The 26,942-nt window shown below is 40.5% G+C and overlaps 2 protein-coding genes across 10 annotated transcripts in view, besides 2 other annotated features; one reads left to right on the forward strand and one right to left on the reverse strand.

Moving 5' to 3' along the window:
- HESX1 (HESX homeobox 1) overlaps positions 1-10,786 on the reverse strand; it is a 29,778-nt gene extending 18,992 nt beyond the window's left edge. For 2 of the 8 annotated variants that reach the window (NR_164757.1, NM_001376061.1), the window contains exons 1-2: positions 9,978-10,786; positions 9,467-9,507 (exon numbers count right to left, since the gene is read on the reverse strand). The gene's annotated coding sequence lies outside the window, so the exon portion shown is untranslated. Of the gene's footprint in view, positions 1-9,466 lie in introns of all 8 variants that reach the window. The other 6 variants (NM_001376059.1, NM_001376058.1, NM_001376060.1 and 3 more) reach the window with 3 other exon arrangements.
- Positions 10,698-11,357: a silencer, noted in NCBI's record as "silent region_14480". NCBI's record gives its function as "represses an Ori minimal core promoter by ATAC-STARR-seq in GM12878 lymphoblastoid cells {active_cell/tissue: GM12878}" and the evidence as "EXISTENCE:reporter gene assay evidence [ECO:0000049][PMID:35858748]".
- APPL1 (adaptor protein, phosphotyrosine interacting with PH domain and leucine zipper 1) overlaps positions 10,900-26,942 on the forward strand; it is a 45,743-nt gene continuing 29,700 nt past the window's right edge. Inside the window, exons 1-8 of one of the 2 annotated variants that reach the window (XM_011533583.4) lie at positions 10,900-11,108; positions 13,885-13,938; positions 18,737-18,835; positions 20,663-20,722; positions 21,216-21,287; positions 23,636-23,723; positions 25,272-25,313; positions 26,027-26,085. In XM_011533583.4, the coding sequence (XP_011531885.1) occupies positions 13,936-13,938; positions 18,737-18,835; positions 20,663-20,722; positions 21,216-21,287; positions 23,636-23,723; positions 25,272-25,313; positions 26,027-26,085 (423 nt within the window). In that variant the 5' untranslated portion in view covers positions 10,900-11,108; positions 13,885-13,935. The remainder of the gene's footprint in view (positions 11,109-13,884; positions 13,939-18,736; positions 18,836-20,662; positions 20,723-21,215; positions 21,288-23,635; positions 23,724-25,271; positions 25,314-26,026; positions 26,086-26,942) is intronic. The other variant, NM_012096.3, reaches the window with a different exon arrangement.
- Positions 18,233-18,372: an enhancer, noted in NCBI's record as "active region_19986". NCBI's record gives its function as "activates an Ori minimal core promoter by ATAC-STARR-seq in GM12878 lymphoblastoid cells {active_cell/tissue: GM12878}" and the evidence as "EXISTENCE:reporter gene assay evidence [ECO:0000049][PMID:35858748]".

The following is a 26,942-nucleotide window of genomic DNA, read 5'->3' on the forward strand; positions in this document are numbered from 1 at the left end:
TAGTATTTTGTGTGGAGGAGGTACTTTAACCCTATGTAAATATTGTTTCTCATCAAATTTTTGAATTATTTATATCATTTATTTATATCAGTATGGACTCACAGTTTCCTACTTTAATAGGTTATAATCTCATTATTTATTATGATGTTCAAATTTCCCCAGATTTGGCCAATGGGAGTCCCCTTCAAGTCTGACATCATTTTTGAACACTTTCCACTTTCTGGCACAACAAGATGTCCCAGGTACATCTTGTTCTTTTCTTGTTCCAGGGACTTAGGATAAGCCATTCCTCCAAGGAGCCCTCCAAGCTTCTTTTTAGTGGAGAATGGTGTTTAGAGGGCAAAATCTGGGCTGTATGTGTGTTCGTTGCCATTGGGGGCATCTCTGCTTCCAGGCCCTCTCAGTGGAAGAGCTAGGAAACACATGCATGTGATACATATACACGTTTACATCTACATTTATTTCCATATATTTACTGAAATCTGTGAGTTCACATGGATACTTTAATTCCAATCCAGCACCAGAGGGTTCATTCCAATTTTCTCCCTTTCCATATTTGTAATCCCTTTGATAGTGAGAAACCTGGCTTCCATTATCTTCAATATATTTACTTACTTGATCTGTCCCATGTATATAACCAAACTTTCATTGCCATCACCTCTTACTCACAGAGATGGCTTCCTTACCTCACTTGAGGACCAATCCCCTGTGCTAGTGCTAGGTTCTTCAAAGCCCAAAAAGCCCTTCTCTTCCTACTTGGGCTCTGACACCCCAGACCTAGCCATGCTCCACGTGAATGCTGTTTTCACCTTGCTCTGAGGTATAAGGCTCTGAGACTCTGCCTCAGGCTTCCCTCCTTTATGGGTACTTCCCTCACCCCTTGGGTTCTGAAATCCTGCACCAAACTCCCACCCCACACAAAAGCCCTCCTCATCACGCTTGGGCTCCAAACTGCACTCTCATGCAGGTGCCCTCTTCACCCCACTTTTGTTCCAACATCCGGCCACCAAACACCCTCTTTACCAATTTTGTGCTCTGACAACCCCCTCCACAGATGCCTCCTCATCTTCACAGGCTCTGAAACCTCACACCAGGCCACTCCTCTGTGGGGATGTCCTCCTCACACAGCTTGGACTCCAACACCCTGTTCTGGGCCCCCATGGCTTCTCCACTTTGTATCTACTCCTACTTTACCTGGCTGCACCTAATGGCTTTAAGGCTGCATTAGTATTCAGACAGGGAAGAGGAAAAACTATAAACCCATTTGTATTTATTTTTTAATTTTCATTTTTGGTTCAGGGGTACACATGTAGGTTTGTTACATAGTTAAACCTGTGTCATGGGGGTTTCTTGTACAGATCATTTCATCTCCCAGGTACTAAGCCTAGCACCCAATAGTTATTTTTTTCTGATCCTCTTCCTCTTTCTTACCTCCACCCTCAAGCAGGCCCCAGTGTCTGTTGTTGCCTCTTTGTGTCTATGTATTCTCATCATTTAGCTCCCATTTCTAAGTGAGAACATGTGGTATTTGGTTTTCTGTTCCTGCATTAGTTTGCTAATGATGATGGCCTACAGCTCTATCCATGTTTGGAAAGGACATGATCTCATTCTTTTTTTTTTTTTTTTTTTTTTGAGGTGGAGTCTCAGTCTTTTGCTCAGGCTGGAGTGCAGTAGCGTGACCTCAGCTCACTGCAACCTCTGCCTCCCGGGTTCAAGTGATTGTCCTGCCTCAGCCTCCCAAGTAGCTGGGATGACAGGCACCCGCCACCACACCTGGCTAATTTTTGTATTTTTAGTTGAGACGGGTTTTGCCATGTTGGCCAGGCTGGTCTTGAACTCCTGACCTCAGGTGATCCGCCTGCCTTGGCCTCCCAAAGTGCTGGGATTACAAACGTGAGCCACCATGCCCAGCCAATCTTACTCTTTTTTATGGCTGCATAGTATTCTGTGGTGTATATGTACCAAATTTTCTTTATCCAGTCTACCATTGATGGACATTTAGGTTGATTCCATGTCTTTGCTATTGTGACTAGTGCTGCAATGACCATTCACATGCATGTACCTTTATGGTAGAATGATTTATATTCCTTTGGGTTTGTACCCAGTAATATGATTGCTGGGTTGAATGGTAGTTCTGTTTTTAGCTCTTTGAGGAATTATCACACTGCTTTCCTCAATGACTGAACTAATTTACACTCCCACCAATAGTGTACAAGTGTTCCCTTTTCTCTGCAATCTCACCAGCATCTGTTATCTTTTTACTTTTTAATAGTAGCTATTCTGACTGTTGTTCCCCTCTTTGTGTCTTTGTATGCTCATCATTTAGCTCCGATTTGTAAGTGAGAATATGTGGTATTTGGTTTTCTGTTCCTGCATTAGTTTGCTAATGATGATGGCCTACAGCTCCCTACAGATGGTATCTCATTGTGGTTTTTATTTGCAGTTCTCTAATGATCAATGATATTGGGTTATTTTTCATATGCTCATAGGCCACATGTATGACATCTTCTGAAAAGTGTCTGTTCGTGTCCTTTGCCCACTTTTTCTTTTTTTTTTGAGACGGAGTCTTGCTCTGTCGCCCAGGCTGGAGTGCAGTGGCGTGGTCTTGGCTCACTGCAAGCTCTGCCTCCCAGATTCACGCCATTCTCCTGCCTCAGCCTCCCGAGTAGCTGGGACTACAGGTGCCCACCACCACGCCTGGCTAATTTTTTGTATTTTTAGTAGAGACGGGGTTTCACCGTGTCAGCCAGGATGGTCTCGATCTCCTGACCTCATGATCCACCCACCTCAGCCTCCCAGAGTGCTGGGATTACAGGCGTGAGCCACCGCACCTGGCCTCCTTTGCCCACTTTTTAATGGGGTTGCTTTTCCTTGTAAATTTGTTTGTTTCTTATAGATGCTGAATATTAGACCTTTGTCAGATGCATAGTTTCCAAAAATTTTCTCCCATTCTGTAGGTTGTCTGTTTACTCTGTTGATATTTTCTTTTGCTGTGCAGAAGCTCTTAAGTTTAATGAGATCCCATTTGTCAATTTTTGCTTTTGTTGCAATTGCTTTTGGCATTTTCATCATGAAATCTTTGCCTAATCCTATGTCCACAACGGTATTGCCTAGGTTTTCTTCCAGGGTTTTTGTAATTTTGGGTTTTACATTTAAGTCTTCAATCCATCTTTAATTGATTTTTGTATATGGCGTAAAAAAGGGTCCAGTTTCAATCTTCGACATATGGCTTGCCAGATAGTCCAGCACCATTTATTAAACAGGGAGTCCTTTCCCTATTGCTCGTTTTTGTCAGCTTTGTTGAAGATCAGATGGTTGCAGGTGTGCAGCCTTATTTCTGCGCTCTCTACTCTGTTCCATTGGTCTATGTACCTATTTTTGTACCAATACCATGCTGTTTTGGTTACTGTAGCCCTGTAGCAGAGCATGAAGTCATTTTTTATGACTTTTTTAAAGCATTGTCTTAACACATTGCTTTTTGTCCTGTTTATAGTGAATGTGATTTAGCTAAATCACTAATGTAGTCTTTTCCCTTTAAATCAAAGGATCTTGTAAATGATTGAGTTTACTTAAGACAAAGTTAATTTGCCATTTGTTTATTTATTTATTTATTTTTCTGAGACAGATTCTCACTCTGTCGCCCAGGGTGGAGTGCAGCGGTGCGATCTTGGCTCACCGCAACCTCTGCCCCCCAGGCTCAAGTGATTCTCCTGCTTCAGCCTCCCAAGTAGCTGGGATTACAGGCGTGCACCACCACTGCCCATCTAATTTTTGTATTTTTAGTGGAGACAGGGTTTCATCATATTGGCCAGGCTAGTCTTGAACTCCTGACCTCAAATGATCCACCCACCTTGGCCTCCCAAAGTGCTGGGATTACAGGCATGAGCCACCATGCCTGGCCACCCACAATTTATTATATAGTATATCACCAATTCTCCAGTTTCCCCAACACTTGTTTCAAATTGCTGCCTTTATTAAAGGTGTTTTTGTCCAAAATTAGGGTAAGAGCCAAAGTCCTCATAGTGGGCACAAGGCTTTGCCTGACGTGGCCTCCTCTCCCTTTCTTTACACCTCAGGCTTTCCCCTGGCTTGCTCTTCTCCTGTCATCTTGGGCTCTGCGCAATTCTTGAACCAGGCCAGGCCACTCTTACATTAGGGGTGACGGCTTCTGCCCTGATGGTCTCTCCTTCTGGAATGTTTGCTCCCTAGATATCCCCATGGCTCATTCCAGCCACTCCAAGTTTTTGTTCAGGTGTTACTTTCTCAATGAAGCCCATTCTGAAGAACCTGTTTAAAATTGCAGCTGCCCCGGCTCTGTTTTCCCTAATTTTTTTTTTTTTTTGAGACAAGGCCTTGCTCTGTCACCCATGCTGGAGTGCAGCCTGTACTCCATGGCTCAATGCAGCCTCCAACTCTCCAGCTCAAGCGATCCTCCCACCTCAGCCTCCCAAGTAGCTAGGACCATAGGTACACACCACCATACCCAGCCAATTAAAAACTTTTTTTTTGTTAAGATGGGTTCTTGTCATGTTGCTCAGGCTGGTCTTGAACTCCTGGGCTCAAGCCATCCTCCCACCTCAGCCTCCCAAAGTGCTGGGATTACAAGCATGAGCTGCTGTGCCTGGCCTTCCCTACTCTATTTTCTATAGCACTTATGACATTCTAACATACTATTCTTTATTTTACTATATAAGATAAGGTTTGCCCAGGCTGGAGTACAGGGGTGCAATCATAGCTCACTACAGCCTTGTAGCTGTAATATGCTATACTTCTTATATATCTATTTATTTATTTTGAGATGGAGTCGTGCTCTGTCACCCAGGCTGGAGTGCAGTGGCACAATCTCGGCTCACTGCAAACTCTGCCTCCCGGGTTCAAGCGATTCTCCTGCCTCAGCCTCCCGAGCAGCTGGGACTACAGTCACGTGCCACCATGCCCAGCTAATTTTTGTATTTTTAGTAGAGATGGGGTTTCGCCATATTGTCAAGGCTGGTCTTGAACTCCTGATCTCGTGATCCACCCGCCTTGGCCTCCCAAAGTGCTGGGATTATAGGCATGAGCCACTGCTCCCGGCCAATATGCTATACTTCTAATACTACTTACTATGTTTATTTTTTATTGTCTTTCTCCCCACCATATCTACTAACCTGTAGCTCCACAATGACAGATATTTTTGTTTTGTTCATTATTTAATAAATATTTGTTGAATGAAGACAGCTGTTCCCTGAGGTAGTCTGAATCCTAAATAATTGGTGCCATCTAGTGTTCTTGGAAGCACGTGTGAATTATCCCTGAGAGTCTTATTTGTATTAGCCATTGGATAAATAGTACTGGTATAATCAATTCTGCTACTCTGTTTTTCACTGCCCTCTATGGCTCTGAAAATATTAAAATGTTTTCAATGATTAAACAGGCACAGGACATATTAATTTCCCTAAAAGCATTTTTTTGAGACAGGGTCTCGCTATCACCAGGCTGGAGTACAGCGGCAAGATCACGGCTCACTGCAGCCTTGACCTCCTGGGCTTAAGCAATCCTCCCACCTCAGCCTCCCGAGTAACTGGGACTACAGGCATGTGCCACCACACCTGGCTAATTTTTAAATTTTTTGTAGAGACACGGTCTCACTATGTTGCACAGGTTAGTCTCAAATTCCTGGGCTCAAGCGATCCTCCCACCTCAGCCTCCCAAAATTTTGGGATTACAGCTGTGAGCCACCGCCCCCAGCCTATGAGCAATTTTTTCCCCAATGATTTGACTGTTCCTTCCAGAATTCCCATGTGGGGTAAGTGTCATGAAAATCTTTTAACTTTGGGGCACCTCTACCCACTCACCACCCGCCAAACAAAAAACAAAACAAAAAACAAAACAAAAACTCCTAAAAACCTCAAAATGGCAATAATCTTGGCTATTTTGGTAATTGTTTTGGTACACTTTTCCTCCAGAATTTCAAAGTACATATTTATTGATTTTGAAATTTTGGTTTTGGCCTCAAAAGCCCCCAAATCAAAGTGATAAAACATTAGCAAGAGTAACTAATGTTATTTAAAATAGCATCAGGATTCTCTAAGGTAATGAGCCCAATCTTCTGATTTAAAAAATATTAGTTTTTAAAAAAATATGATAGAGACAAAAAAGCTTCCTTAAATGTATTAAAATATTTTAATATTTAATAGTTGATAATGAAAAAGATAATTTTTACTGAATGCTTATTGCGCTAGGAGCTACTCTAAAAGCTCATTAATCATCTTAACAATACTATTAATGTAAGTTCTCTAGTATTAAGCTCCATTTTTCAGATGGCAGAATGGAGAAACAGAGAAGTTAAATAACCTTACTTAAGTCACAGAGCTACTAAACAGTGGAGCCAGAATTTAAATCACAGCCCAAGCTTATTAGCTCATAACCATGTTCTCATCTACCTCTCCACAGAAGGGCTATGATGCTATTTTGTGTTAAAGTTCTTGGCCTGCTCAGACAAATTAATTAATGTGTTCTTCTAAAAAGGAATCAAGGCAACCATAGATAAACAAAAGCATATACAATTTTCCTAGAAGTTTTTTTTTTTCTTTTTACCATCAAGAAAGTTGAAGCTGCAGAATTGTCCCACATTCTAAGGATGCTGTGGCAATGAGTAAAAGTGACATCAAGGTCAAGGTCAAAGGCAGAAGCTAGTTTGCAGTGGCACAATGAAGAACCAACCAGTTGGTCCTTAGTGCCCTCCCACCTCTTTTTGCAACCCATTCCTCAGAACTTTTTGTTTTACCCTCCAATTGTCCAAAGCTTCCCCCTACTCTGCTACTGGCTCTAATGTTTTAAAATAGATTAAATGACTGAAGTTCCCAAATTATCAATTTTCTTGAAATCTGCTCTTTCCTGAATCTGCTTTATCTCAGCTGGTATTAAGAAAATAATGAATTATCTGTTAAAGTTAGTCCTATTAAGGAGTGATTTACTAGGTAACAACCAGAATTTTTTGCATTATACATTACACTCTTTAAAAGGAGTATGAATTTCCCAGAATTTTAGATTGATGGAGTCTTTTAGAGAATATTTGTGAGTAGGTGGTTTCCAGCTCGTTAGCCTGGAAATCATGTCCTCACCATCCTTAGCTGGAATCTAGGATTCCTTTTCTAAATGTTTGCTTGACTCTTTATTTTTTGTTAATTTTTGTTTTAATTTAGACTGAGTCTCGCTTTGTCACCCAGGTTGGAGTGCAGTGGTGTGATTTCGGCTCACTGCAACCTCCGCCTCCCAAGTTCAAGCGATTCTCCTGCCTCAGCCTCCCGAGTAGCTGGGATAATAGGAACCTGCCACCACATCCAGCTAATTTTTGCAGAGACGGGGTTTCACTATGTTGCCCAGCCTGGTCTTGAACTCTTGACCTCAGGTGATCCACCCGCCTCGGCCTCCCGAAGTGCTGGGATTACAGGCATGAGCCACTGCACCAGGCCAATTTTTTAAAATTTTAATTTAATTTAATTTTTTTTTGTAGAGATGGTGTCTCTGTGTTGCCCAGGCTAGTCTCAAACTCCAGAGCTTAAGCAATCCTTCCACCTTGACCTCCCAAAGTGCTAGGATTACAAGCATGAGCTACTGTGCCCACCTGACTCTTTAAAAATTTTTTTTAAATACAAAGTGATTTAGGAAAGGGAAATGATCATTCTCCATCTTGGATAGAGTTTTTCCTCATGTGGTTTGTGGATTACCCACTTCAGACTTAACTGGAGAGATTCCCAGCCCTGACTCTGACCTACTACACCAAAATCTTCCAGCAGGGCTCAGGAATCTGTATGCTAACAACCTTCCCAGATAACTTTTATGTGTGCATTAAGTTTGGAAACCACTGACCTAAAGGGATAATTTTTAAAAGTAAAGCACCAGCATCACTTGGGTTATTGGATTCTTTCCTATTACAGATCACAGACCAGAACTTCAAGGAGTATCATGTAAAAACCTAATTATAAGACCAAATATAATTTTAGGAGACTAATAATTAACAACTCTATTTACAAGACTGTACGTCCTTTTGTTGTAAATTATACGTGTGAAATGTCTCAAGGTATATATGTGAAACATCTCAAAGAAATCTTTAGTGGATGTTGTTTAATCCTGACTTGCTTTCCATAAAATTAACCAGTTGCCCAAAGTTTTTACTCTACTACCCACACGAGTCGCCAGTAACCCCTAAGGCATTCTCTGAACAAGCCTCATTTCCTGTATGAAAGAAAACTGGCTTAAAATGAACTGAGTTTGGTTAACTGCACAAAACGTAGGCTGAATAAACTTAAAGTGGTTATCAAAAAGGACTATGAATTTTGCAGCTTTGGAGATGTTTTAACTTAGGAAATACAACCATATTTTTGGATGAGCAGGGTATACAGTGGCCTAAAGCTAGAGAATCCAAATGGAAGGTTAAAACTGGATTCTAGTACAAATAGGTTAAAACTAGATTTGACTAAACCTACCTCTCCATCCAACTGAATGTGAACCTGTTTTTGTTTGTTTTATTTTTTCATTTTTATTTATTTTTTGTTTTTGAGACAGAGTTTCGCTCTGTCGCCCAGGCTGGAGTGCAGTTTCGGCTCACTGCAACCTCCACCTCCCGGGTTCAAGCGATTCTCCTGCCTCAGCTTCCCAAAGAGCTGGAACTACAGGCGTGTGCCACCATGCCCAGCTAATTTTTGTATTTTTGGTAGAGACGGGGTTTCACCAGTTGGCCAGGATGGTCTCCATCTCTTGACCTCTTGATCCGCCTGCCTCAGCCTCCCAAAGTGCTGGGATTACAGGCGTGAGCCCCACCGCGCCCAGCCTGTTTTATTTTTTAACCAGCTGAGTCCGGCAAGAATTCCTTGCCATTCTGCGATAATGTAATGGCCTCTTGAGAGTCCTTTACAGAAACACAGTTTAGATGTACATAACATACTAAGAAGGAAACCATTTAACTTGACAATACCACACCCAGATAATTCAGATAACTAATCGAATTTTTCATCGGAATTATTTGGTTTGGCCAAGTTAATTAGGTAACAAATACTTTTCTTTTCTTTTCTTTTTTTTTTTTTTTTTGATACGTAGTCTTGCTCTGTCGCCCAGGCCGGAGCGCAGTGGTATGATCTCAGCTCACTGCACCTGGGCCTCCCGGCTTCAACTGAGTCTCCTGCCTCAGCCGCCTGAGTAGCTGGGACTACAGGCACGCCACCACGCCCGGCTAATTTTTGTATTGTTAGTAGAGACTGGGTTTCGCCATGTTGGGCAGGCTGGTCTTGAACTCCTGACCTCAGGTGATCCAGCTGCCACGGCCTCCCAAATTGCTGGGATTACAGGCGTGAGCCACAGCGCCAGGCCTTTTTTTTTTTCTTTCTTATACATTGTTTACACTCCTCACTTACTCCTGATTCTTAACAGTTGCCACAACCTTTCTTCATTTAAAATCTAACTCAGTTCAATCAGGAAGGTCACTTACCTTGAAAGTCTTCCTTCTTTAGAGCTGGGGTGCATGGTGTTCTTGTTGGCAGAGTAGAAATGAGATATCAAGGAAAAAGAAACTGTAACACAACTGGGAACCCTTAACTCATTGTAAGAACTGCCTCCAAATCAACTTCCTCAAAAACTAAAGAACTCTTCGGGAGAGAGAGACTGGCTGATAAACAATCTAAGGGGAAAACTTTTAAAGATTGTAACACTAAAAATAATTCCGTAAAACTACAATGCAAGTCTACTCAACAAAACTTTAAAAATATAATTTTATTTTTCTTTCAAGAGATCATGGGAAAATCTACTATTTTCGTTTAAAATATATAACTTCTATTTGTTACTATATTTGGATTTGAGCTACTACTATTCTGGATTTGTTCCCATGTATCTGTGGAACCAGGCAGCTAATTAATCTTTACTCAGCATCTCTGGTATTTCTTGAATGAAAATGGAATGGATTGGTGGAATTAATGGCTAGATGTTTAGAAGACACTACTTACTTTGTTATTTTCTCTGTATAATGATGAAAGCCTACAACTATACAGAGACATAAACGAGCCAGGGTGACAGGTTGGGAAAGATGAAGAGGGAGGAGGAAAGGATAGGCTTGTAGCCCTCATCCGGTCAAATTCCCAACTTTGAGCTTCACTTTATTGTAAAATTAGAGGCTAAAACTATTTAACGCTTCCAAAACTTTTTGATTCAACAAATGCCAATTAGTTACTAACATAATTAATCAGTGTATCCTGATTTTTAAAAGATATTTTCCTTTGTGATTTAAAAGAAACATGGGAGTTGGAGTTGCAGCGTCAGTCCTGAAGGACTGACCTCGGGAGGCCAGGTAGGAACTGATAAACTGGCAACAAAATCACATGTTTTCAACTGAATATACTGATATTCAAGCGTCCAGAAAAACAATTTCGAGCCTACGTTCACAAGTTTGCCAGAAAGCCCTATTATTGACACAGCTGCGGATCTCAGACATCTGAGTTAGTCAGCACCATTCTGCTGGAGGGGATTAAGACTGGACGCTTCGAGCGGAGTTGGGAATGTTATCATCTGAGGAAACTAAAAGGCGCCAGCAGTAGGACTTTCTCCAAGGTCTCTGACAAAATATGTTGCGGGAAAAGTCAACCCGCCCCAAATTCCCCCGTGTGGCCCTAACTCGAGGCTCTGGCTCCTCGCGCCGGCAAGCTGAGGAAGAGACGGTCCCCTGCGATTTAGATACAAACGCGCGCGTGCAGGGAAGGCCATCCCAGGGCAGACACTGCCACCTCCGCCGCTTCCGACGCCCGCGCTCGCGGGAGAGCCTAGCGCCGCACGGGAACCTCCCGACCACCGCCGCAGCGCGGATGGGCGTCCCCGGGAGCCAATGGACGCGCCGGGAGGCGGGGCAGGGAGGCCGAGGGGGCGGGATTTCCCGCACGGCCGCTCGGCGCCTGGAGAAGGCTGTGCGGGCGGGGACGGCTGCAGCCCTTGCCGGAGAGGGCGGGCCGGGGTCAGCTGCGGCGGGCGGGCCGGCGCGGGGAGCTGTGGGCGGCAGCTGCGTCTCCTGCCACCGCCCTCCCTCCGCCACGATGCCGGGGATCGACAAGCTGCCCATCGAGGAGACGCTGGAGGACAGCCCGCAGGTGAGGCGCGGGAGCTGGTGGGCGACGAGGGAGAGCCCAGCTGGCCGACCCCAGGTCTGGCGCCTCCGCGGCTCCCGCAGGTGCCCGCCCCGGCCCAGGTGGGGGCCGCCGCCGCCCTAGGTCACCGCCCGTCGCAGGCCGCGCCCGGAGTTGTGGAGGCTGGGCCCGCCGCCCAAGGCCCGCGTGGGCCTGCTCGGCTGGGCCGAGGGCCGCAGGCGGAGACCGAGCCGCTGGTGCTCGTGGGCCGGGCGGTCACGTACGCGCGCGGGTCCTTTTTATTTGACGAAAGGCGCCGTTTTTATCGCGGTGATGTGAGGTGCCAAATCTCGATCCTGGAATTTTCTCCCTGAGAACCTCTTCAGAAAAATTGCAGAAGGGAGAGAAACCCCGATAGTCTTATTTAATGATTTCCGAGGCTCAGCAAGCTAAGGAAGGAAATGGATCGTTTTTCTTTGGGAGAGGCTGTAAGGTTGTGTGTGGAGCCCTAATGGCAAAGCCCGTGACGGGTCCCGGAGCCCAAGACCGCTCTCCCCGCCGAATGTGCCCGTGTCGCGGCCGTGACTGTGGTCGCTGTCACTCGAGCTGTGCACGGCGAGGGATGGACGGTGCCTTCGCCGCTCCGCGACTGCTGCGCTGCTCCCTGCAGACTTGGCCTTAATAAACTCATCAAAATAAAAGCCCTGTGTTCTGTGCGTCGGAATGATGCTGATGTGGTTGCTCTAGCTTAAGACAGTTTTGGAAAATGTAACCATTTAATATGTTTTCAGTACTGCAGAATGAAAGCAGCTATATTTTTTAAAATGTTGGCAGGGGCTGTAACTTGCATAGGGAAAACTTCATCTCTAAGCCGTTTTACACGATAATTTAAACGGTTTAAGACGGTGTTGCTGGTTGGACACTATTTAGAATGAAACATTTCTGAATTGTTGCTGATTTAGAAATGCAGTTGCACCATTTCGTGTGTCTTTACAGTTGAACATGGCCCCCAAAGAAGAAAAGCAGAAGAGGTCTAGATCTCCTTTTCCTGGATGGCACTTCTGCCATGGATTTTGTGCCAATGTTAATTGCCAAGTTGAAATGGGGCTCTGATTGTAGAATTGATTTGTTCTTTTTTATTCTGAAAGTTATCTTCACAGGCCAGTTGCCTGCTGCTAATGTACTCTTAACAGCTGATAGTGACAAAAAGAGAAACTCACATTTGGTTTATCTTGACTGCCAGTATACTCGGTTCAATTTTTTTCTTGATGATTTCTCCATATAAAGTTATAAACTGTATTTGTTTCAGATGATTTGCAAAAAGTTTGTGGAATTGGTCAGGTGTACTTTGTCATTTTACTTTTTATTATGTAAGATTCAACAGGTTGCCTTACCTTTCTTCTCTTACTTGGCTTTTTTTTTTAATAGCCCATAAAGACTATAAACGGCTCAGAATGGATTGCACACTGCCCTGGAAATGACTTGTGAGGCAGAGATAAACTCTTGACTCATCTAATGTCTTGAGGTTTTTGCCAGATTAGTTTACAACTTAAGAATTGTGGTTTTTTTTTTTCTTTACAAGCATGCATCATACTAGTGTCCGTTTTACAATATATTTGTTTGTTTTTTGAGATGGGGATCTTGCTATGTTTCCCAGTCTGGAGAGCAATGGCTGTTCACAGACACTATCGTAGTGCACTGTGTCCTGGAACACCTATGCTGAAGTGATCCTCCTGCCTCAGCCTCCCTAGCAGCTGGGAATACAGGCGTGTGCCACTGTGCCAGCTTTTTTTTTTTTTTTTTTTTTTTTTTTTCCTGAGACGGGGTTTTGCTCTTGTTGCCCAGGCTGGAGTGCAATGTTGCAATCTTGGCTCACTGCAACCTCTGCCTCCCGGGTTCAAGTGATTCTCATGCCTCAGCCTCCTGAGTAGCTGGGATTACAGACGTGTGCCACCACGCCCACCTAGTTTTTGTACTTTTTGTAGAGACGGGGTTTTGCCATGTTGGCCAGGCTGGTCTCGAACTCCTGACCTCAGGTGATCTGCCCGCCTTGGCCTCTCAAAGTGCTGGGATTACAGGTGTGAGCCACTGCGCCTGGCCTGTGCCAGCTAATTTTTAATGAAGTAGACACATTGATATCCCTTCAATGTTGAAAGGCAATAAATTTGAACTAGGTAAAATTTACTTGGGAAAATTAATTGGTACAACTGGGATTTAGGAAGTGTACATACTTGGAGGTGATTCTTAGGTCGAACCTGTGGCAGAATGCAAAGCCTTGGATCTAGGGTTGACGAGGTTTTTAGTCATCACTGCCACTTTACTACCTTCTGCTTTAGGGCAAATCATTCAACTTCTCTGAACCTCAGCTGTTGTGTCTTAATGACATGTTTTTATTTTTGACCCTGATTAAAAAGAAATAATAGTTGCTTCCTTCAGAAAAATTGGAAGGTCCAGAAAAGAATAACACACAATTACCTGTTGGTTACCCAGCAAAACCTTATTAACAGTTTGCTTTCTTTATTCTACTGTTTTTTTTTTCTTCTACATGTTTTAATGGAATTGAGATTATATTGTGCATAATGATCTTTATCCTGCTTTTAACTTAACATTATCACTTAAGTATCTTCACATGTTTTTACATTCCAAATAAAAACATTTGAAGACCACACATTTCCTTAACTGATTTCACAACCCTTTGCTGGACTTTTAGAGTTTTCCCAAAGTTTTGCTTTTATAAATAGGGCTGAGATTAATGCTTTGGAGCATAAATTTTCTTCTCAGTTTGAACTATTTTATCTAGAATAGAGTCCAAGAAGCAGAGCAGCAAAGAATATGAAGACTTTTAAAGCTCATGGTAAGTTTTTTGTTTTTTTTTTGAGACAGAGTCTCACTGTCACGTAGGTTGGATTGCAGTGGCACAGCCATAGCTCTGAAACCTCAAACTCCTGGGCACACGCCACCAAGCTCAGCTAATTTTATTTTATTTTATTTTTATTTTTTGGAGATGGAGTTTCGCTCTTGTCGCCTAGGCTAGAGTGCAGTGGCATGATCTTGGCTCACTGCAACCTCCACCTCCCGGGTTCAAGTGATTCTGCTTCCTCAGCCTCCCAAGTAGCCCAACTAATCTAAAAATTTTTTGTAGAAGACTGGGCGTGGTGGCTCATGCCTGTAATCTCAGCACTTTGGGAGGACGAGGCAGGTGAATCACGAGGTCAGGAGTTTGAGACCGACCTGGCCAACATAGTGAAACCCCGTCTCTCCTAAAAATACAAAAAATTAGCCGGGCGTGGTGGTGGACGTCTGTAATCCCAGCTACTCGGGAAGCTGAGGCAGGAGAATCACTTGAACCCGGGAGGCGGGGGTTGCAGTGAGCCGAAATTGTACCGTTGCACTCCAGCCCGGGCAACCGTGCGAGACTCCGTCTCAAAAAAAAAAAAAAAAAAAAAGAAAATTTTTTTTTTGTAAAGACAGGTTTTCACTATGTTGGCCAGGCTAGTCTTGAACTCCTGGCCTTAGTGCTGGGATTACAGATGTGAGCCACTGTACCAGGCCCTAAAAGTTTTTTGTTTGATTAGTTTTTAATTTTTTTTAGATCATTTAGATCTAATCAAAAGTGGCCTGCCAGTTGCTACCTAAAAAAGAGCCTTGGCCTGGCACAGTGGCTCATGCTTGTAAACACTTGAGGGTGGGGGTTCAAGACCACCCTGGGCCAAATAGCAAGACCTCATCTCTACAAAAAATAAAATTAGCTGGGCGTGGTGGCATGCACCTGTAGTCCCAGCTATTCAGGAGGCTAGGGCAGGAGGATCGATTGAGTCCAGGAGTCTGTGGCTGCAGTGAGCTATGATCACACCACTGCACTCCAGCCTGGGTAACAGAACGAGGCTTTGGCTCTTAAAAAAAAAAAAAAAAAGAGCCTGGGAGTGATGGAAGACTATCCTGAATTACAGTTACCCTTCTTTTAGTTTTGATTTATAGTAACTACGTATTAAATTAGGGAGAATTTGCAAGTCCAAAATCCAGCTGATCAAACAAGCATCTTTTAAGAATACTGCCTGGAACCTAGGTGGGGAAAAAGCATGTTTGGAATTACCTTGCCCAAACCAGACAGTTCTGCAAAAGATCATCCATTGAGCCAGAAAATCTTAAGCTTATAGTAGATGCCTTGTCCATATTTATATGTTGTTTTGAAAATCAAAATCAAAATAAACCTTGTTAATTACTAAGAACAGATAATGATCTTTAGAAAATTAATTGATTTTATATGTAGATATGTATCTTAGTGATTCATCTATGATAGAACAGTGAAGACAAACCCCAGTCCCAAATGGGATCTTCTGTTTTTGCATAATATGAATTAATCATGAGATGTGCCTTTCCTCCCAACATTTTGATGTCTCTGATTGGGATTCCTCTTAGAGTTGATGGTATATTAACAATTGCTATCAGCCAGGTAGCAGTAGTAATGTATTTCACATTGCCTGCAAATGTACATACTTGGTTGTTTCTCCTAGTAGCATACTGGCCAAGTGTAGTCTCTCAGTGTTCAACTAACAGATCAATTTTGCCACCATTTGAGAAAGGAATATCAGTCCTGGTTGTTGTCCGAAAACCTTCTTTTGACACCTGGTGAGATGTCAAATGACATCATCAAAATTTGCTGAATGAGTATCAGTTTCTTGGAAGAAAATATTAGGGACAAAAATGGAGTACTTCTAAGAAATACTTACCTCCTCATGGCACAGAGAATGATAATGTATAGGAAAACATGCATATTGATGACTCTCGAGTTGAAAAGTGGTTCATGGGCCCGGTGCGGTGGCTCACGCCTGTAATCCCAGCACTTTGGGAGGCCGAGGCGGGCAGATCACAAGGTCAGGAGATCGAGACCATCCTGGCTAACACGATGAAACCCCGTCTCTACTAAAAATACAAAAAATTAGCTGGGTGTGGTGGCTGGCACCTGTAGTCCCAGCTACACGGGAGGCTGAGGCAGGAGAATGGCATGAATCCGGGAGGCGGAGCGTGCAGTGAGCCAGGATCACACCACTGCACTCCAGCCTGGGCGACACAGTGAGACTCTGACTCAAAAAAAACCAAAAAACAAAAAAACAAAAAAGAAAAGTGGTTCATAAGATTCGAACTCTGTGAAGTTTTAGAAATAAATTTATGATGCTTATATTTGTTATGTTTACATGAGAGCTGTATATGATAAAATTCTGTGTGAAGGTCTGTTTTCATAAATATAAGGTAAAAAATTCAAGACATAAGAAAACCTTAAATCATAGCTTAATTGCCAGCATTGTTTTGTTTGAGTAGTACAAAAATGAAAATGATGCATCTTACAATGGATACCATCGTAGATTTGATGAAATGGTACCATATTGATTCTATTTTTTAAGCTACTAACTTTAAACAAACAGCAATTATCCAGTGTTGAAGTTGATATTGTTAGCTTAAAATAGGGAATCTGTTTCAACTTGCTTTGCGCTAAGAAGAGCTTTTAAATTTAATTATGCTACAAGTTTTTACATAAATATGTAACTCCTTGAATTGGAATTACCCATTTTTAGAAAAAAAAAAAACAAAACAGAAACGAAGCGGCAGATTTTTTTTAAGAATGGCACTAGCCAAACAAGATTTCCTGATGCTTTCTTTTTTACATCTTAAAATAGCACTATATGGAATTGTAGTGGAGTGTTTGAAAAATATTCTGTCAAATCTAAATCTCTGAGGCCTGGGGAAGTGGAGGACTGAAAATAGGGACTTACTGGCATCATGATTTTGTGTCCTTTCCCCTTCTTTATACTATATTGACTTAGCTTCCTCCTCTGAAAATAGGAAGCTAAGGAATAAGTTGATTTAAGAAAAAAAAATTTTTGGCCATGTGTGGTGGCTCACACCTGACCTGTAATCCCAGCACTTTGGGAGGCTGAGGTAGGAGAATTGCTTGAGCCCAGGTGTTTGAAACCAGCCTGAGCAGCATAGTGAGACCCTGTCACTACAAAAAATAGAAAAAAAGTAGCCAGACATGGTGGCACATGCCTGTAGTCCCAGCTACCTGGGAGGCTGAGGTGGGAGGATTTTTTGAGCTCAGGAGGTCAAGGCTGCAGTGAGCCGAGATCATGTTACTGCTCCAGCCTGGGAGAAGAATGAGACCCTATCTCAAACAACAACAGCGACACCCACAACAGTTTCTAAGGCTGAGGCATAAATTATTTTTAGAATAAAAATATATCTTTTAGATTTTAAGCTGCAGTTATCTCCAGTAGTTATTGGTATTTTCATTCTTCCCCTGGGCCTTTGGGATGTAATGTGAGTATGTCTACCTTGCCTTTGATAGCCTTAGTTTCCTTATCTTTGACAAATTTTTATTGACATTCTTTTTTTTTTTTTTTTTTTGAGACGGAGTCTCCCTCTATTGCCCAAGCTGGAGTGCGGTGGCATGATCTCGGCTCACTGCAAGCTCCGCCTCCCAGGTTCACGCCATTCTCCTGCCTCAGCCTCCTGAGTAGCTGGGACTGCAGGGGCCCGCCACCATGCCTGGATAATTTTTTTGTATTTTTAGTAGAGATGGGGTTTCACCGTGTTAGCCAGGATGGTCTCAATCTCCTGACCTCGTGATCCACCCGCCTCGGCCTCCCAAAGTGCTGGGATTACAGGCGTGAGCCACCGCACCCGGCCTGACATTCTTAACATTTACTTATAAGCTTTCCCCCTTAAAATAAAGATAATTTAAAAAAATTTTTTTATTTTGAGACAGAGTCTTGCTTTGTCGCCCGCCCAGGCTGAAGTGCAGTGGCGTGATCTCGGCTCACTGCAACCTTCACCTCCCAAGTTCAAGCTATTCTCTTGCCTCAGCCTCCTGAGTAGCTGTGACTACAGGCACGTGCCACCACACCCGGCTAATTTTTTGCATTTTTAGTAGAAACGGGGTTTCACTGTGTTAACCAGGATGGTCTCAATCTCCTGACCTCATGATCTGCCTGCCTCGGCCTCCCAAAGTGCTGAGATTACAGGCATGAACTACTGTGCTCGGCCTAAAATGAAGATAATTTTTAAATGTGCATGGTAGAAAAATGACAAAACAAAACAAAAGCCAAACAATATAGACATGTATAAAGAAGAAGAAAGGAAAACCCCCAAATTGTGCATTCGGAAAAACCTAGTTAGCATTTTATATGCTGAAGAGTCGGCCATGTTGGGGAGGGTGTACTGTGGTATTTTTAGATTAGGACAGGAAGGGGTTTGGCCTCTTCTAGCAAAAACTGTAGAAGAAATAATCATACTAAATTATCCTGAAGTAAGACATTTAAAATATTTATACTACATGGAATGCTGTTAATTTAGCTTTGAACGTTTCTGTTGATTTGTTCTTAGTTTATAGAATTTTTAGTTTATGAAAATATACCTCTGTTGTTTCTCCTAAAGTTTGTGTGACATAGTTGGAAAATACCTCTGCTTTGTTGAAGTGAAACTAAGAACAAAAAAAAAAGACTTCTTAACATTACTATCAAAAGAGACAAAATAGATTAAAACTCAGAATTACTAGAACTTTAATATCCTACGATTTTTGCTTCCTTTAGAAAAAATATTTTTCCATCTGATTTGTATAATGATTAACATAAACTTATTGCTATTGTTTTATACAGACAAGGTCTTTACTAGGTGTATTTGAAGAAGATGCCACAGCTATTTCCAACTATATGAACCAGTTGTATCAAGCTATGCATCGGATTTATGATGCACAGGTAAAACACTAAGGACTAACTTGATGCTTTTAAAACACGAATCTTTAAGCCTCATGAGGACAGATAGTGTCTGTCTTGTTTACCACTGCTTTAGCCCTGTGTTAGGCTCATAGTAATAAATATTTGTTGAATGGATTAATGAACATTGAGTGTATTACAGAACTGACATTTCAACTACTAGTGTACAGTTTGTAGTACTACAAAAGTGATAGACGATTGAAGCATCTGCCCATTCTCCCCAAACATAGTTTGGGGGGAACCCCCCATTAAACTCACTGATAGTGATCTTTCCTAAGATTTGAATGAAGACCCCATGTCATCACTGGTATTTTCCCTAATCATGCTTATTACAATCTTATGGAGCACTTCCCCACCCCCACTTTTTTTTTTTTTTTTTGAGATGGAGCTTTGCCCTTGTTGCCCAGGCTGGAGTGCAGTAGTGTGATCTTGGGTCACCACAACCTCCACACCCCAGGTTCAAGTGAGTCTCCTGCCTCAGCCTCTCAAGTAGCTGGGATTACAGGCATGCACCAGCACGCCTGGCTAATTTTGTATTTTTAGTAGAGACAGGGTTTCTCCATGTTGGTCAGGCTGGTCTCGAACTCCCGACCTCAGGTGATCCGCCCGCCTTGGCCTCCCAAAGTGCTGAGATTGTACCCAGCCCCCTTTTTTTTTTTTTTGGAGATGGAGTTTTGCTAATGTCTCCCAGGCTGGAGTGCAATGGTGCAATCTCAGCTCACTGCACCCTCCACCTCCCAGGTTCAAGCAATTCTTCTGACTCAGCCTCCTGAGTAGCTGGAACTACAGGCATGCACTACTACGCCCAGATAATTTTGTATTTTTAGTAGAGGCAGGGTTTCACCATGTTGGCCAGGCTGGTCTCGAACTCCTGACCTCAGGTGATCTGCCCGCCTCGGCCTCCCAAAGTGCTGGGATTACAGGCGTGAGCCACTGCACCTGGCCAACACTTTCCCTTTTTCAGTGGAGGATTTGAAAGTTGGCTGCCTCTGTCTAGTTAAAAGAAGGCACTAAAAATTAGATGTACCTCTGGAGTACAAGAAGATGAAGGGTATGACTAAGTTTTCTTATTGACCAGCAATAAAATTTGAAGCTATGTTTGGATAACTTAATTATAAGCTTAAACAGCAACCTAGGTTCTGTAATATACTTTCTTTGGGATTAATTAAGCGTACAAGTTTTATTTTTTTCCCTTCTCATATTGTTTGCTTTCTGGCTTCACATTTTCATTATGTACTTAAGAGTTGCTATGTTGTTGTTTAGTTTTTCCTTGTGATCAGGCTCTGAAGCTTTGCTTTCTGACTACAGAGATATATGATTAATATGTTAAAGAAATGTTCTCTTTGTTATATTCACCAAAAAAACTAAATTAAAGTTTTTCATATGGCTGTGTTGCTATGTTATATGACTGGGTCAACCACATTTTGGTTGTATGTTATTAAGTGCTTACTGTAGTCTAGTATCAGCATCTACAGAGGGCAATAATCAGTCATCAACGTAGATGCTCTAAAGATTTTGCTAAGGTTATATCAGTTTATTTCTAGGCTTTAAAGTATTTAGTGCTTAGTTTTTATTAGCAAAAAACAAACACCAGGAACACTGCTGAATTCCTGGAGAGTGTCTATTTTATGGTTTGAGTTTTCTTTTAAAGTGCTTTAATGGTAGTACCCCTTTCCAGTGATTTAATGAAGGTTTTAAAAAACATGTACAATATTTATGTTAAGTGATAATAAATAAATTAGGTATTTAATTAGAAAAAACTAAAACTTTTTTCCCAGTAATATGCTAATTTGAATGCTTTTTCCATAGAATGAATTAAGTGCAGCAACACACCTGACCTCAAAACTTTTAAAAGAATATGAAAAACAGGTATTGTATATCAAAGTTTTAAAAGCATAATTTTAAAAGTATAGTATCTGTATAGATAGACTTTCAACAAGAATCCTTAAGTTTTCTTGAATTCACAGAATATGCCATTGAAATTTCATGATAGCACTTATGTTCAGATAATTTTAATGATTTAATATTAAATACAGAGGCTATCTAGTTTACTTGTTTTCTTTTTACAAATGAAGAAGCTGTGACTTGCTGAACATTACAGTGTTATTGGAGGAACTGGAGCTAAATGCTAAATCTTTGAACTTCCAGTACAGTGGGTATTCCAATATGCCATGTCAATTGCTTACTTAATAAACAATTAATGTTTATTATATACATTACACAATTTTAGTTAAATGATATTTTAGAGCTTTTTCAAAATTTTGGAAGTTTTCTGAAGTTATTTAAAAATGTAAATTATAGTAATGTCATTCCCAAAAGACACAGCATTGAAACTTTACCTCATCTGTTTCTTGCTTTTCAGCGTTTTCCATTGGGAGGTGATGATGAAGTTATGAGCTCTACATTGCAACAGTTTTCAAAAGTTATAGATGAGGTAAACGTTTATTTTATTTTGCTTGATTAAATGGTCTTATAATTGAGTTACCCAGTTGCTTAGCTTTTATTTTATGAATAAAGCTCTATTAAAGAGATGACTAAAGAGGAACCTTAATTCCACATCCTGGTGGCTGGCTCATCAAAACAATACTTTCTTTACCTGATTAAACATTGTTTTCCAGGAATAAACTTACAGATGTGCTTCTTCTATACGCAGTCCGTGCTAACATTCAGTCTTGACATGTGTCATTTGATGTAGGCAGGGAGAGAAGAGTTAGGTAGTGAACTGCATCTGGGTTCTTTGTGGTTGCTCTTTTGCTATTAAGCAACATTTTACTGTTTAGTCTTTATTAATCCTGCTATCCTAAACAGCCAGAATCAACCCTGAATTCCTCAAATCAGTCATCACAACAAATCATTAAAACAAAGACCTAAAAGGTAAGAGGAAAAAAAGGTAGTGAGAGATTATGGAGAATCGTTAACTGTTCTCTACTGTTGCAGTAAAACCTCTTCTTTTCACATGGACCATTCGATAGTCCTGTGTTTTCTAGACTCTTAACTGGAAAAGTAATTTTTTTGAAATATTTTAATAACCCATTATAGCAAAATGTTTTACCGGGAAATCAAGATAAAGAAATAATGTAATTTTTTTCATTTAAAAAAATTGTGGTAAAGTACGCATAGCATAAAATTTGTCATTCATGATATTTAGTGCATTCACAGTGCTATGCAACCATAACCACTGTATGGTTTTTAGGACATTTTCATCATCTCAAAGGAAGCCTTGTGCCCGTTAAGCAGTGTATTAGTCTGTTTTCACACTGCTGATAAAGACATACCTGAGATGAGTAATTTATAAAGAAAAAGAGGTTTAATGGACTCACAGTTCCATGTGGCTGGGGAGGCCTCACAATCATGGCGGAAGACGAAAGGCACATCTTACATGGCGGCAGATGAGAGAGAATGAAAGACAAGTGAAAGGGGAACCTCTTAGAAAATCATCAGATCTCGTGAAACTTATTCACTACCACGAGAACAGTATGGGGGAAACTGCCCCCATGATTCAGTTATCTCCCATGGGGCCCCTCCCACAACATGTGGGAATTATGGGAGCTACAATTGAAGATGAGATTTGGGTGGGGACACAGCCAAACCATATCAAGCAGTCACTTCCACCTCCCTGCTCCCTCAGCCCTTGTCAACCACTAATCTTCTTTCTGTATGGATTTGCCTACTTTTGATATTTCATATAAATGGACTCATAATTTTAGACTTCTTTATGTCTGTTTTCACTTAGCATAATGTGTTCAAGGTTCATTCATGTTGTAATATGCCTCAGTACTTCATTCCTTTTTTGGCTAAATAAAATTTCATTGTTATGGATATACCAAGTTTTGTTTATCTGGTCATCTCTTTATATATCTGTGTATCTGTTTATCTAGTCATTGTTTATTTGTGTTGTTTCTACCTTTTAACTAGTTCAAATAATGTTATTATGAGCATTCATATACAAGATTGTTTTTTTTGTTTTGAACAACAGTTTTCAGTTCTCTTGAGTAGGTACCCAGAAATGGGATTGCTGGATCATTGCATGGTAATTTTATGTTTATTTAAAAGTTAAATAATTTTAGAAAACCACCAAACTGTTTTCTACAGTGCCTGCACCATTTTACATTCCTACCAGCAATGTAGGAGGGTTCCAGTTTTTCCACATCCTCGCCAACAATTATTTTAGTTTGTGTGTATTTAAAATTTTTTTAAAAATTATGGCCATCTGAGTGAGTGTGAAATGGTATCTCATTGTGGTTTTGATTTGCATTTTCTTAATGTCTAATGATATTGAGCACCTTTTCATGTGCTTATTGGCCATTTGTTTATCTTTGAAGAAATTATATAGATCCTTTGCCCGTTTTTAAATTGGTTGTCTTTTTATTAGTTGTAAAAGTTCTCTTTCTAGATACAAGTTACTTATCAGATACATAATTGGCAAATATTTTCTCCCATTCTGAGTTGTTTTTTTTTTTTTTCACTTTCTTGATGGTGCGCTTTCATGCATAGAAGTTTTAAATTTTGATGATGTCCATTATATATTTTCTCTTGTTCCTTGTGCTTTTAGTGTCATATGCAAGAAAGTGTTACCAAATCCAAGGTCATTCTGTGTTTTCTAAGAGTTTAGTAAATGGAATTTTTTGACTATATAGTATTTTGTACTATATCACATAATTTTTAGTGTTTTCCTATATAAAATATATCAGAACCATTTTTACTAGATTATGTTTAATTTACATAACACTGGTTAAATGTCTGTGTATAGTTATTTGGCCTTTTTGGTCTTTCTTTTTCTAGCTTAGCTCTTGTCATGCAGTGCTTTCAACTCAACTTGCTGATGCCATGATGTTCCCCATTACCCAGTTTAAAGAAAGAGATCTGAAAGGTATTGAAGTCAAGCTTATGTTTACTTTCATTGGCTGTGAGATCAACACTTGTAAAATGCATATTACTCTGTACTTACACCATTTCTGGATGACAGCCTATGCCACTCTTACTTTGCTCAGTTACCAAACATTTATAGGAGCTCCTGCTAGATGTCAAACTAGATATTGAGAAATACCGATATGGATAAGATATCCCCTCTTTTGAGAAATTCTAGAGAAGGAAGTGGGCACATGCATAATTACAACACTTATGTCTCTTATAATTAGGGAATGAGCAAGGTGCTGGCGGGGCTGTTAGGAGGGGGTCAGCAAGGCTTTACCCAAGGATGTGACATGAGCATTGAACAGTGAAGAGGAATTTGCCAGGAGAACAGTCATTGTTCTGTTAGAGGGACTAGAGTGCACAAGATATGGCTTTTAGAAATACACAGCCTATTTGACAGTAGCAAGAAACTCAGTGTGGCTGCAATGCTGTATGTGTTAGAGTGAGGCAGGAGATGAATCCAGAAATAGAGTAGATGGGAGTAGGTCATGCTAAGAGGCTAGAACTTCAGATTATGAGCAAAGGAGAAGCCAATGGGGGTCTTTAAGGAGAGACACAATTCCTTTGGAGGATGGAATAGAGTAGCCTTGTTATGTAGGAGACTAGACTGGGAAGTTGTGGGAGTCCAGTGAGATATGACCAAGGCCTGAGTTAGGATAGTGGCACAGGGTATAGAGGTGTGTGTATGGGCCGAAGTGGCAAGAGGTAGGGGTACTGGCACATCTAACAATCTGCAACCTAGTCGTTTCTGGGTTTTATTTTTACCCACTTAGGATTACTAGGTGATACAATGAGAGTTTTATAGAGTTGGTTTTGCTTTCCCATAACTTGTAATCTCAGCCATACACACTTACTTCCAAAATATGTAGAGAGATTAAAAATATTGAACTAATGTATCAGTGAATGGTAAAGTATTTAAATTATACATGGAATACAGACAAATGTGTATTATACTATTCTACACCTACACCATTTCTGGACTGCAACCCGTGCCACCTTTACTTTACTCAGTCACCAATACATCTAATGTATTTTAAAGATGGAGTTACTAATTGTGGTTGTGATCCTCAAGAATGGTCATTTCTAAGGTCTAGAACAAGATCTCTTTTCTTCAGTGTAAGGGGACTGAATGGCATAATCTTATTAATGAGATGTTTTGTTTCTCGTTTAGCATTTGAATATTTAGATTCATATATCAAAAATGCATGATTCTGGCACTAAATCAGAATATTTGCATATCTTACCATTTACAGTGGGTTTTTAAATTTGTTTTTATGTCATATCACTAATTTGTAGCAAGTAGATTTTCTGGTGGTGTAACTGTTGCTAATGATAGTAAATGTTTCATAGACTAGCTGAAACACAGAGTAGCTTTTTCACCCTGAATGTTGAACTATGAAATATTATTTTGAGTTTTAATTATAGTTTAAGTAGCAGTTATTGTTTTCCAAACAAATGTATTTCATAAATGTGCCAAACTTAAATTATTCTTGAACTTTTTCAGAAATACTAACATTAAAGGAAGTATTTCAGATTGCAAGTAATGGTAAGCCCTATAATTTGCACACTTATTTCTTGCAGTGATGTATTTGTTTATCAGTGCATATCTGTGGCCAGATTCTTTGTAATAATTGAAAAAAAACCAATTAAAAATAAGTGAACATTACTTAAATCAGTATTGCTACTTAAATTACACTGTTTATACAGTGTAATTTAAGAAAAATCTTAAGGAAATTAAGTCTTACAGGTTACTATCTTCATAATGCCTAAAGAGGTAGTGTAATATTTTACCCTTCTTGTTCTTTTATATATCCCAATTTTTCTTTAATGAGTGTTATATATATATATATTTTAAGATACAGGGTCTTGCTCTGTTGCCCAGGTTGGAGTGCAGTGGCTTTTCAAGCCACAATCATAGCATACTGTAGTGATCCTGCTGCCCCATCCTCCTGAGTAGCTGGGACTATTGGCATATGCCACTGTGTCTAAGCTGCGTTTGCTATTTTTGTACTAGAAAATACTTTAAAAAGCTTTAGTGCATTAGTTTCCTTGGAATTAATTTTTTAAAAACCAATTTGAGAAGTAGACACATAATTTAGGGGAAATTTGGCTGTGGGGAAAATTGAGTGCAGTGGTCATGTGGTAGGAAATTCTTGCTTTAGTACGTTTGTGGAAAGGTGCACATGTGAAGACCATTGAAAGCATTTGTAAGTTTTGAAAAGTACTGTTGTATTGTTAACACTCATTTCTTTTTTCCAGATCATGATGCTGCGATTAATAGATATAGCCGTTTATCAAAAAAAAGAGAAAATGACAAGGTGTGGTACATATTTATTCCTTCAGTGTCATAATTAACTATTCATTAGGTGGTTTAGTTTTTCCTCTATCAAAATAGAGCCAGCAGTTACTTTGTATGTTTTGTTATATTACTATTAGTTTATTCTTTCCTTCTAGCTGTTCAAAACCTTTCTGATAATCATTGACCTCTTTAAACAAAATATTTTCTTCTGCCAAAATTTGATGTTATAAGTAAATATAACTATTCTGGAAATTTAACTGATGCCCAGTATATAACATTGCCTTTTGTTGCTTTGTATTTTGATGACATGGCATTGGTTCTGTTTGAATATATAGGTGTGTTCAAAAATGTCTTCTGAGATAGAGTGGTCACACACATAATGAAATTCTGTTATGAGGCCCTCCTTATTTATAGACATATATATCTTTTGATATTTGTTCAAGGAGTGAAATACAGAAATATTACACTATATTTGAGGAGAAATGCATTCAAGTAAAGATGAGAGTACAGAGTATTAACAGGTTTTTTTGGGCGTGCCTTAAGATCATGTCTTTCTCCAGCATCTAGTCCAAGGCTTGATGTGTAGGTCTTTCTAGATGCTTGTGACTGAGGTGATCTCTGTGCCTGGGTGTTGGTGTCTGCAGCCTTGGCTGCAGCTGCTGGTGGAAACACAGTGACTGCTTGTGGGAATCCACAGTTGGGTAGGATTTACTGTGCAACAGCTACTGTGACAAAGGAAATGTTTCTCACACAAAGTTTAGTACAAAGATTGATTTCCTTTTCGTTTCTAATTTTAGCTGCAGACTACTACTTAATGGTGTATTGATAAAATGTATACATTTGAGATCTCTATTAGTCACTTGGCCTTAGAGAAGT

Source organism: Homo sapiens, chromosome 3 (genome assembly GCF_000001405.40).
Source record: "Homo sapiens chromosome 3, GRCh38.p14 Primary Assembly".
In the NCBI taxonomy this organism is placed as follows: Eukaryota; Metazoa; Chordata; class Mammalia; order Primates; family Hominidae; genus Homo; species Homo sapiens.